The sequence below is a fragment of the Homo sapiens genome, chromosome 2, assembly GCF_000001405.40.
Source record: "Homo sapiens chromosome 2, GRCh38.p14 Primary Assembly".
NCBI lineage: Eukaryota > Metazoa > Chordata > Mammalia > Primates > Hominidae > Homo > Homo sapiens.
In genome coordinates, this window is record NC_000002.12 from 148567725 (window position 1) to 148580110 (window position 12386).

The 12386-nt window shown below is 44.9% G+C and overlaps 2 annotated features.

Annotated features, from left to right (window-relative positions):
• Window positions 10098-10812: an enhancer, noted in NCBI's record as "OCT4-NANOG hESC enhancer chr2:149335391-149336105 (GRCh37/hg19 assembly coordinates)". NCBI's record gives its function as "activates a minimal SCP1, AML or CMV promoter by ChIP-STARR-seq in naive and primed H9 embryonic stem cells {active_cell/tissue: H9 hESC(naive and primed)}" and the evidence as "EXISTENCE:reporter gene assay evidence [ECO:0000049][PMID:30033119]".
• Window positions 10813-11526: an enhancer, noted in NCBI's record as "OCT4-NANOG hESC enhancer chr2:149336106-149336819 (GRCh37/hg19 assembly coordinates)". NCBI's record gives its function as "activates a minimal SCP1, AML or CMV promoter by ChIP-STARR-seq in naive H9 embryonic stem cells {active_cell/tissue: H9 hESC(naive)}" and the evidence as "EXISTENCE:reporter gene assay evidence [ECO:0000049][PMID:30033119]".

The following is a 12386-nucleotide window of genomic DNA, read 5'->3' on the forward strand; positions in this document are numbered from 1 at the left end:
TTTGCTTTTTCTTCCACTTTTATCCCTGTTGGGCAAAATGAAAAGATTCCCATCACAGGAAGGGTAAAAGCAGATGTTCTGAAGTTGTCTACTAGCTAAGTCAGCACTTAATATATACCAGAAACTGTGCTAACAGCTTCACACGTGTTAACTCATTCAATCCTCACAAGAAGCTTGCCAGACAGGAACTTGTGTTTCCTCCACTTTTATAGATGAGGAAACCATGACCCAGAGAGGTTAAGTCACTTGCTCAGGGCCCCACAGCTAGAAAGGAGCATAGGCCAAATTTGACCTTGATGTCTGACTGTGGCACCTGCACTGCCATATTCCCACTGAGTCCTGCAACAGTTTTGTAAGCTGTGTCTCAACATCCCACAAAGGTGTCTGCTCCATGGGGCTTCTTGACCACCTCTCCTTCAAAAAAAATAATTTAAGAATAGAGAAAATAAACCAATAGCATTTATTCCTATATGCTGTTTCTGTCCATGCTTTTATTATTGCATGTGCCACAACTCCATGGTAGGACTTTAGAACTATGCCTTTTGGGCCATCTTTCTACCCTAAGAGCTTAGTACACAGAAATTTGTCTGGGTGAAGATATTTTTCTAGAAGCAGCCTAGTCGCAGAGCCATAGTCACCAGCTCATGCTACCACCACAGTGGTCTTGTTTCATCTCTTCTGTAGGTCAGCTGGCCGAAGCCACAGGGCTGAAGCAGATGGCTGAGCCTGCAGATGGTGCAAGGCTTCTGATGGAAGGACCTAGCAATTGAGGTAAAAGTGCAGCAAAACGTTCAAGAAAAATATCTGAGCCCGCGGCAGACCACAGTCATCATTGCCCTCCTGTTAAACCAGAAGGCTTCCAAGCCTGAGAGCAGGCATGTTTGCCTGACCACAGTCTGTCCTCATTGATTAAACAGTTTATAAATGAAAATGAAATAAGAGCTCTCTGCACTGTAGTAGAAAATGTTTCCTGTGAGGCCAGTGCTGCCCAGACCTGGGAGTGTGTGGGAGACAGCAGCATGGGTGTGTGCGAGCGCATCACCTTGGCCGCATGCCGCCCTGCACCACTCCACAGCGTGCCGTGGGGTTACTCAGCGTCACCACATCCTGGCTCGGCTGGTGCCCATAGGTGCAATGTGGCGCTTCCATGGAGCTAGCTTGATCAAAGGAGGCTCCTGGGCCTTCTAAAAACCCCCACACCAGCTCTTGGAAAAGGAGTCATAGAATAATGTCAGGGAGAAAAATGAGTAGGGGCTGGTGACCCCCCCAGAGGGAGTGGAGGGGAGGGTGGAACAGGGTAGGGCTGTGCTCTGCGTGTGCCTGTTCCTGTAACTGAGTTCCAGTCTTGAGGCGTGAAGGCATCTGCTGGAGGAAAGTGGGCTGGATGGCTCTGCCCAGGTAAATGGTCAGGAAAGAGAAAAGGAGAGCCTGGTCATTAGGACATCAACCATGTGGCTAACAGGCCACTGCGTTGATGCGTCTTGTGGCAAACTGTCCCTTTAGTGACCTGAAGATCCTCAGGTGACACAGCAACTTCCATCCTCCAGGTCAGTCCTGGCCCTGTGTGCCCCATAGCCAGGGAACAGCTGAAGTAGCCACTCCTGCAATGCCCACTTGGCTGTCACGATGCCCCACGTTCTGCCCAGGTGAGGCCAGGCTGAGGGTGGAGGGACGGGAGAGGAGAGATCATAACCCGAATCAATGCCGAATCAATGGCAGCCTCCTGTCATCGCATCCTTTTCATAGGGAGTGGGCACCAGAGAAGGCACTGGGTGCAGGGAGGAGGCAGAGGATGCAGCATGCAACCCCACATCTCTGAACCCACTGTGAGATGCGGCCTTTCTCCCCACCTCCCTTTGTAGGATGGTACGATGGTGGGGAAGAAGCAGCTGCAATCCTTCATCTACCTTTTCTTGTTCATTCTTCTTACGCTTTGGGTCCTTCTCCAATTCTGACATTCAAACATGGAGACTTAATACATTTGAGACTGGAGAATCTGGCTAGAATGTACACAGCCACATTCTGGCTTTGTGCTGGGACCGGGACCACAAGGGGACACCATCTGATTCATTCATTGCCTCTTTGGCTTTGTTTCTGGTCTGCTCTCAATGTCTTTTTGGTGACTGACTCATGGATTTTGGTTAGCACACATTTAAAAAGGTGAACATTGATGTATTAGTCCATTCTGACACTGCTATAAAGAACTGCCTAGTGGGGATCTGTGGCTCACACCTGTAATCCCAGCACTTTGGGAGGCCAAGGCAGGCAGATCACGAGATCAAGAGATCAAGACCATCCCGGCCAACATGGTGAAACCCTGTCTCTACTAAAAATACAAAAATTACCTGGGTGTGATGGCGCACAACTATAGTCCCAGCTACTCAGAAGGCTTAGGCAAGAGAACCGCTTGAACTCAGGAGGCGGAAGTTGCAGTGAGCCGAGATCGCACCACTGTACTCCAGCCTGGTGACAGAACGAGACTCCATCTCAAAAAAAAAAAACCAAAAAACTGCCCAAGACTGGGTAATTTATTATATAAAGAAAAGGTTTAATTGCCTCACAGTTCAGCATGGCTGGGGAGGCCTCAGGAAACTTACAATCATGGCAGAAGATGAAGGGAAAGCGAGGACCTTCTTCCTTCTTCACAAGGCAGCAGGAAGAAGTGCTGAGTGAAGGTGGGGAAAAGCCCTTCATAAAACCATCAGATCTTGTGAGAACTCACTATCACAAGAACAGCATGGGGGAAACTGCCCCCATGAGTCAGTTACCTCCACCTAGTCTCTCTTTTGACACGTGGGGATTACAGGGATTTGGGGGATTACAATTCAAAATGAGATTTTGGGTGGGAACACAAAACCTAACTATATCAACAGAAATGCAAAGAAATGGTTTTGGGGTTGGTAATGCTTCCTTTCAGATACAACTACCTTTTCCGGTAGGCTACAAAAAATATATTTAAAAAGCCGTGTCCTGCCTAGAAAATATCCCTTACTTCTCTTTGAGGAGACATTGACAAGCAGGCTGGATGGAACACTTTTATTTTCATGCCTGGCTGTCCTTAGCTCCATCACTGGTTAACAGGAGGTGTCTCAATGCCATTACAGGCAGACTGAAAACTGCCGCAAAAGAGCAATGAGAAGCAGGGTTCTCTGGAGTCCAGCTCTGAGAGAAGCCTTGAGGGAAAAGGAAAATGGCTGAGTCTGTAGAACTCCTGGCTTCTCTTCTGCTGCTGCAGTTGTCCAAAAGAGCCACCCATCAGCCACACATGCAAGGGGTGGGGGGATTCCTGGAATTTCTCTGCCACCTTACTGCACTCTTCACCCTCAGTGTCACTTTTGCCTCTTGGGGATGCAGTGGTTGGTATCCACAAAGAAGCAAGTGGAGTCAGCTTCTCAAATGTCTAATCAGCGCTATTGTAGTTTGGGTTTCCTGGGAAACAGACTCTGAGATGGAGGCTTGAGTGCAGGGGGGTTGTTGGGGAGTACGCTCAGGAACAACACTGTAAGGGAGTGACGGAAGCAGGGTGGATGAAAGGAGAACTCGAACCGCAATGCAGTCACAGCGAGGCCTCAGTTCTGAAGCTGGGGTGGCCCTCAGATGTGTCTCAAATTGAAGCAAAGGGTACAGGCCTTTGGGCCTCCACTTCGACTAGACCCTGGCTTACCTAGCAACGGGCATAGCCTTGGCTGAGGTAGCTCCCTTCAGCCAAGGACAATTTGTGGGGAAGCCTCGACCGAGAACAAAGCCATCAGCAAGCACCACTCCTGTACGTATCAACTGGAGGAACGAGTGCCTCGGTCCTGGAGCGGGATTCTTGTGTCCGCTGCCATCCACCCCTGGTGTCGCTTAGCATACCTCCCTAGCTAGAGAGTAAGTCCCTTGATCCTTGTGATAGTTTGCAGGAGTCTATGTTAGTGGATGGAACATTCTGGAAGCCCTTGGATAGTGGTGCTGGCTGAGGCAGGAAAGATGAATCAAGGCATGTCACATGTATTCTTTCCAGTCAAGAGGAATCAGTGACCCTCATGGGGTGGGAGGAGTCCAATGTTTTCAGCTTGCCAGCAGTTGGTTGGTTGGTCTTCATGAGGGATGGTGCTTTATAGGGGACTCACTGTTGGTTTCTGTTGCCAGGACTTTGGTCATTCTGCAGTGGCAGGTCTAGTGAGTGGGAGCACAGATTATCTATTGTATTACTTATAAATAATCAGCTTTTGGATTTATTTAATTGTACTGTTTTCAGTTCATTTTTTTTATTTTTATTCATTTCTTCTTGCTTCCTCTAGTTTTTGTTTTGTTTTGCCTTGTTTTTTGTTTGTTTGTTTTGTTTTTTTGTGGCAGAGTCTTTCTTTGTTGCCCAGGCTGGAGTGCAGTGGTGCAATTTCAGCTCACTGCAACTTCTGCTTCCCGGATTGAAGTGATTCTCCTGCCTCAGCCTCCCGAGTAGCTGGGATTACAGGCACGCACCACCATGCCCAGCTAATTTTTGTATTTTTAGTAGAGACAGGGTTCCTATGTTGGCCAGACTGGTCTTGAACTCCTGACCGCAAGTGATCCGCCCATCTTGGCCTTCCAAAGTGCTGGGTTTACAGGTGTGAGCCACCGCTCCTGGCCTAGTTTTTGTTTTGTTTTGTTTTTTTGTTTTTCTTTTTCTGACCTCCGCTGCCTACCCTTATTTTTTCCTCAGCTTATCTCTTGAATGGCTTGTCACAGAAAGATCTTGGGTCAGGAGTCAGCCAGAATACTGCAGAGTCCACTGTCCCAAAGGTTCTGAAGTCCTTCCCTCCTCCCCACCCCTCTGAGGTGGGTACTCTCACAGGTGGCCTGTCTTCATCTTGCTGTAATTTAGGGAGACCAAACACTTTGTTAGGAAGGCATCCAGGTTCCTTGCTAGGGTAAGAAGCCTGTTGTACTTTTTGTGATTTTTTTTTTCTGGAACCTAAGGAGGAATTTTTCCTTTGCATCTTTGATCCTGCCCTTGGCTTGGAAGGAAAGTAATGGAAACCAAAATGTTGGACCTTGGGCTCCAAAGTGAAGCCCTTCCTGTGAACACCACCAAATTGACAGGGGCAGCTCCAGGGTGCCCTAAACACACTTTAAGTTTCTGCAGCTCAGCTGGGGAGGGCTTTCCTTTACCCTACTTAAGCGTCAGTTCCCTGCTCTGTAAAATGCCCTTGCTGGTTACTGTGTGGATTAAATGAAATGCCTAGCACAGAGCTTGGCACTCAGTCCTTGCTCAATAAATGTTCATTGTTACTGGTAGTACAGATAGGGTATTCCTTATTTGAAATGCTTGGGGCCAGAAGTGTTTCAGATTTTGAATATTTTTGGATTTTAGAATATTTCATATACATAATGAGATATCTTGGGGATGAGATCCAAGTCTAAATAGGAAATTTATTTATGTTTCTTATACACCTTTATACACATAGCCTGGGGGTAATTTCAGTTTTCCCTTGGAGATGCTGAATAAAATCCATGTTGTGCGCCTGCATTTTGACTGCGACCTGTCATATGAGATCAGGTATGGAGTTATCCACCTGTGGTGTCATGTCAGCACTCAAAATATTTTGGGTTTTGGAATGTTTTGGATTTGGTGATTAGGGATGCTCAACCTGTGATGATCTCTGCACTCCTTTCAAGCCTTCCTGAGGGCAGGCAGCTGTCTTAGTCACCTCATTATCCCCCTGAACTTTGAATATGCTCAGTGAATGCTTTGGAGGCTAACAGAAGAGTCTCCATCTGGAAAATGTGGGATCCCTGTAAAACTGCCCAGGCCTGATTTTTTTTTTTTTTTTTCAGTAAGCCTCTTGCATTCCTACTGCTTTTTCTACTGCAGCCCATGTCTGGCTGTAGGTATCAGGTCTCTTACCCAAGTACAGCCCCTACACAGCAGTACTTCATAATGATGCTGTTGGTTGGGATTACCATCACAGTCTCATTTGGCTTGGCCAGCCCAGGTAGGTTTGTTTATGATGCGAAAATTCACGCAGTGCAGATTTATTCAATATTGCTCAACCTTGGAAGCAACCCAGGTGTCCTTCAATAGGTGAACAGATAAATAAACTGGGGTTGATCCAGATGAAGAAATATTATTCAGTGCTAAAAAGAAATGAGCTATCAAGCCATGAAAAGACATGGAGGAACCTTAAATGCATATTACTAAGTGAAAGAAGCCAATCTGAAAAGTCTACATACTGTATGATTCCAACTGTTTGACGTTCCATAGAAGCTAAAAGTATGGGGACAGTAAACAGAGCAGTGGTTGCCAAAGGTTGGGGGCAGAGCGAGATGCACAGAACATGAGGATTTTTAGGGCAGTGAAAATATTCTGTATGATACTACAATTACGGATATATGTCATTATACATTTATCAAAAACCATGGAAAGTACAACACCAAGAGTGAACCCTGATGTAAACTATAGACTTTGGCTAATAATGATGTGTTCGGGCAGGTTTATTAATTGTAACAAAAGTACCAGTCTGGTGTAATCTGGTGTGGGGTGTTGATAGTGGGGGAGGTTGTACATGTAGGGAAAGGGAAAGGGGGTAAATGGGAATTTTCTGTACTTTCCTCTTAATTTTGCTTGTAACCTAAAACTATTCTGGCAAAAAAAAAAAAAAAAAAGAGAAGAAAAAATCTATTAAAAAGAAAAAAGCCTGCCAGATGAATGAGTGTGGAATTATGTGACGGGGATTCTATGTGGTCTCTGTGATAGGCCATGCATCGTGGGAATTTGCAGGGAACATGAAAGCCTTTATGACTGGCTATCTTCCCTCATCTTTCCTTGGAAAGGACCAATTCAGGAACAATAAAAATAGTTATAGCCACATCTCTTTTTAATCATTCACAATGAAAATAGCTCTTTTTGACTCTGATAAGAAGCATTTTCTTACACCCAAGATTACCTATTTTATTGAAAAAAATGTCAAAAAGAAAATTAGTGCTAGCCTGCCACAGTGGCTTATGCCTGTAATCCCAGCACTTTGGGAGGCTGAGGCAGGAGGACTGCTTGAGCCCAGGAGTTTGAGGCTGCAGTGAGCTGTGATTGCACCACTGCACTTCAGCCTGGGTGTCAGAGCAAAACCCTGTCTGAAAGAAAGAGACTGAGAGAGAAAGACAGAGAGAGAGGGAGGGAGGGAGAGAGAGAGAGAGAGACAGAGAGATGGAGATGGAGAGATAGAAGAAAGGAGAGAAAGATAAGAAAGAAAATTGAAGCTGATTTTACTTTTTAATTTTTATTATCTGGTCATGTTTAGAAAGTAGCAACATGGAGGCGGGTATCTAATTTTTTATTATGAAATCAGATAACTGGCTCTTGAAGCTCGGAGGATTATGGTTGGCTCTATCAGTTCTTGATTGTGCTGGTTGCTGGTGCGTGTTCCTGGATCTTACGGAAGCCAAAGCACACATAGGGAGCAATCAAAGGGCTGCGAGGAGCCATTGGGAAGCAATGTGCTTCAAATGGTATTTTGTGAAGATTAATATGTCAGCTGTGATGACAGTAGATTCAGCCAGGGGAGAAATGGAGGCAGGGAGACCCATTGCATGATGTTATTGCAACAGATGTGAGGTGAAAAAGATACAAATTTTGGTGAGAACCAAAGGACTGTAAGAAGGGATTGTGAGCTGTGAGGATAAATGAAAAGTCAAAACATTCATGGGGAGGAGGTGTTGGTCACTGGATGTAGATGTAAGGCCTTCTCCATTGCGGGGTGTGGCATAATACCTAAAATGAAGCCTCCACTGTTACGTGCTGCCTTGACAGCTGGTAAAATTGGGAGAGCTGCAAGTGGCCTAATTCCAACTTCCCATCCTCATTCAACTCCCATGGATAAGGTCCGCCAACCAAACTCCCAGCCTTATCAAAGGCCCCAGACACAGTTCCTGCTGGTCCTGAGCACCAGGTCTCAGTTCCCTGCCAGCCCATGGAATATGTCAAACATGACAATCACATCTTTGTGTGGGAGCCAGGGGTCACCTCACTGTCTTGACACTGCACAGCCTCTGGTGGTTCACTCTGTTCCCAAATGCAAATTCTGTGTAGCCCTGCATGGCGTGCAGTGTCTCCTCCCCCAAGCTGTGAGTACCTGTGACTAGTGTATACATATATGTCCACTGCCAGGTCCCTTTCTTTGGCCATCCCCATAACCATAGGGCAGGAATCCCCTCAGCCCCCTCACCGACAGGGTGGATGACAATTGATTAAAACAGGATGTAGCATAGTTAGGGTGAGGCTGAAGGTAGTTCCACACATAGAGGCAAAGAATTTCAAAGCCAGAGAGCTGATCTCACCCTGTAGATAAGAAAACAGACCTAAAGGGCAGGGTTTCTGATTGTCTATGCCTCTTCCACATCTCAAGAAGGAGATTTGAAAGCTAAGGGCAGGAGAGACGTATATATAAAGGTAAATGCCACTGAATAATGACATGAAAATTATAGATGTTCTAGATGATGTTATCTTCCTCCAGAGTTGACTGACTTTTGCTTCTATAGGGCAACTAGAATAGGGCTGTTTGCCTTAATCCAACCTTGAATTGATCTGATCTGAGGTTAGGTTTCACTCTTCCTGAGACAGAGCTATTTCTGGTTCTTTCTTGTTCCTATGGTGTGGCCCTTCGGGGATCCCAACTGAGAACCTGAGGTATTTACCCATGCCGCTTCTACTTGACTCCAACTTTTATTTCTTCAACCCTGTGAAACTACTGGAAATTCCATTCAGTCTCTCTGTCCCTTAGCCATCTCTTTCTGATTGTATTCTCCGCCTCTCAGCCCCATCTCTCCTATGAATCAAATGCCTAGGTGGGATGGGGGGTAAGGGAAGTGGCTCCACTTGGGTCTGCCTCAATGTATTTCCTTTCTTTCCTGGACCTTGCCCCTAATTTATGCCTGCCTTGGTCACTCTATCTGTTTGATGACTTCAAACAGATGATCTTTTTACAAAAATTTAGCCATTCTAGTTGTTTTCAATGGAGAGTTGCTCTAATACAAGTTAAACTTTTGGAGCCAGAGTAGAAATCTAGCTCATGCAGCATTTCTTGAATATTTACTGTCTGCTCAGCATTGTGGAGCTTCAGTGCATATAAAAGAGATAAAAGACTCACTCCTGATCTGCATTCATTTGGGGAGATAAGACAATATCCAGAATAATTATAGCATACTACAAAGAGTACATGATTAGGTGAGAAATGAAACACTAGAGTGAGCCGTAGTAAGCAAAGAAAGTTTCTTTGTTCCTCAACTCCTAATCCAAAACAATAGTAAAATCTCGCTGTCAATTTCTGAAGGTGTGTATGCAGGTGGATGTGCTCCTGTGCACGGAAATGCACATTTGGAAGGAGTGACTGGGTCTGGACTGGAGAGCGTGGGGCAAGAATAGCCTCAAGTGAAGACCATGCATGTTGTCCCAGCCTTGCTTTGGCCAATCTGATGCATCTGAGTAAGAACTGCCTTGCAGTGAAGTTCTAGGTGTAGACAGGTGCTCCCACATTAAGCAGCTAGTTTCCTTGTCTTGCTTTGGTTGTCTCTCATTTGCCTGTTCATTCCTTTCTTGCCTTAGAATCAGGACTATAGTGAGATATTTCTATAGAAAAAGGCAAGAGAATTTGCCTCCAAATAACCTGTAGAGTCAAAAAGTTGTAATTCAGCATATATTCAGTGACTTTATAGTCACTTTTGAAGTAGGAATCATTTTCCCTATTTGACAGATTTAAAAAGCAGACATTGAGGTTCAGAGCAGTTAAGTCATGTAGTTAGTAAGAACCTTTTTTTTTTTTTTTCTTTTTGAGACTGGGTCTTGCTACATTACCCAGGCTGGACTTGAACTCCTGGGCTCCAGCGATCCATCTCCTTCAGCTTCTTGAGACCCTCCCACTCCCGGCTGGGGCTATTGTGTGGACCACCAGCCTGGCTGTAAGAGGTGTTTTTACTCCAAAACGGATGCCCTTTCCACCACACCCATTGGGTTATGCTCCTTGCCAGACACTTCTCAAACAAAATGTGCTTCCTCACTTTGATACCTTCTTGGTGTCCCCGGTTCCCCTGGGAAATAACCGCTTTGGAAAGTCTAATACCCAGATGTATTGGGAAATGATTTGGAGTAAGCTTTTCCCAATCTCTGGGAAAACTCAGCTTACAAAAGTTTCCCAGAGGCAAAATTCCCTTTTATTTTTGTTGATGTCAGAGCATTACAAGGACACAGTGATTGTAACTAGTTCGTTTGCTTTAGTTGTGAGCAGATGAACCAAAAATATCAAAGGAGCCAGCTAAAGCAGCACTCAGCTTTGCAGCTCTATTCCTCTGTCTGAGACGGGTAAAGGGTGTGCTCTCTGTAGCGAGAGAGCCAACAAGAAACATCATGGGCAGGTCGGAAAAATGAACCTGAGGCTTCAAGTTTTCTGAGTTTTCTGGAAGGCTATGTTGACTCTTCCATTTATTTTCTGCCTCATTTGAACTCATTTCCCACCCCCCAGGTGTGGCATTTTCAGCTCATCCTACTGACCTCTTTACTCACAGATGAGCTTATTGCTCATCTGTGGGTCAGTGATTGTCTCCTCAGTGGGGGCTGCTGAGAGGGACAAAGAGTTCACAGCAGGAAGACTGGCATCTTGGCTGTTTGAGAAAGAGTCCTAGATAGGTTGCTTCTTTGGCTTTCTGGAAAGCAGCAGGTAGTGACTTAAGCCAGAGTGACTTCTGAGAAGGGTCAGAAGAAAATGTCAAAGGGGGTGACAGCTTGGGAGAAGAGGTGGGGAGTGGGCAGTGGGGAGGGATGAGGAGAAACAGGAACAAAGATATGGAGAGTATGAGTGAGTTTTTGTTCTCCCATAGAGATGATGGGCAGGTTCTTTGAAACCAAGTCACTGCTTTCTCTCTAGCAATAGCTATTTCCTTTGAAGAATGATGATACCAAGTGAGACCAATGTCAAGTGGTCAAAAGACAGAATGAAACTGGGAGGAATGGCCCATTGTCTAAACAAGCCAGCTGTTGAGGAAGCAAAACATTTCTCAGTCCAGTCATATACATACAGCACAGAAAAAGGCATCCCTGTTACAGATAGAATTATGTCTCCCCAAAGCCGAAGTCCTAACCCTCAGTATCTCAGAATATAATCTTATTTGGTGATAGGGTCTTTACAGAGGTAATCAGGTTAAAATGAGGTCATTAGGGTGGGCTCTAATACAATATGACTAGTAGCTTTAGGAAATGAGGACATTTGTCCACAGACAAACCCACAGGGAGAACGCCAAGTGAAGATAAAGGTAGAGATCAGGGTGATGCTTCTTCAAGCCAAAGAACACAAAAGACCACTCATCCTCCAGAAACCAGGGGAGAGGCACGGAGCAGATTTTTCCACACAGCCCTTACAAGGAACCAACCCTGCCAACACCTTGATCTTGGGTTTGTAGCCTCCAGAACTGTGAAACAATACATTTCTGGTTGTTTAAGCCAACCAGTGTGTAGTACATTGTCACGCAGCTCTCGCTAACTATTATATCACCTTTGGTATCCAACACTAATTCTCAGACATACTTCCCTACATGATTGTAACTGTTTCCTTTCAGTAAAGAAACTGAGAAATTGAAGAATGTGAAAGAAAAAAAATACATCAAATTATGAACAATGCAGTCAATCTTTCATAAACAAAACCCCAGGAAAATTTTGCGTCAGGAAAATGAAGGCAATATGGTTAGCACTTCATCTAATTTTCTGCCTAATAATTATTCCCTGTCAGTTAAATATCAATACAGGGAAAGAGTTGGCTTGACAAATGAGTGGTTAAAAGCTTTAGAGATGCTGGAACAATAAGAGAAAGGCTATTGCAAAATTACAAGAGGAAGGAGTAAAGAAATAGGATGGAAAATAAGTTGATAAAGAGGCAATTCGGCAGCAGGTGAAATGGGGCGAATTATGATAACAAATGTAACAGAAAGAATGAGATGCTTGAATCTATGTATTTTATATGTCGTATAATATAGATACATGTTTATTTTTTACCTTCTCATTCTAGAAATCAGGTGTATTTTTTAAAGTGATAGGCCAGGCTTGGTGGCTCACGCCTGTAATCCTAGCACGTTGGGAGGCTGAGGCAGGTGGATCACCTGAGGTCAGGAGTTTGAGACCAGCCTGGCCAACATAGTGAAACTCCATCTCTACTAAAAATACAAAGATTAGCCAGGCATGGTGACAACACCTGTATTTCCAGCTACTCAGGAGGCTGAGGCAGGGGAATCGCTTGAATCCGGAAGACGGAGGTTGCAGTGAGCCGAGATCGTGCCACTGCACTCCAGCCTGGGTGACAGAGCGAGACTCCATCTCAAAAAATAAATAAATAAATAAAATGAAATAAAATCTGATCAAGATCACAAAGTGAAGGTGTGAGTAAGCG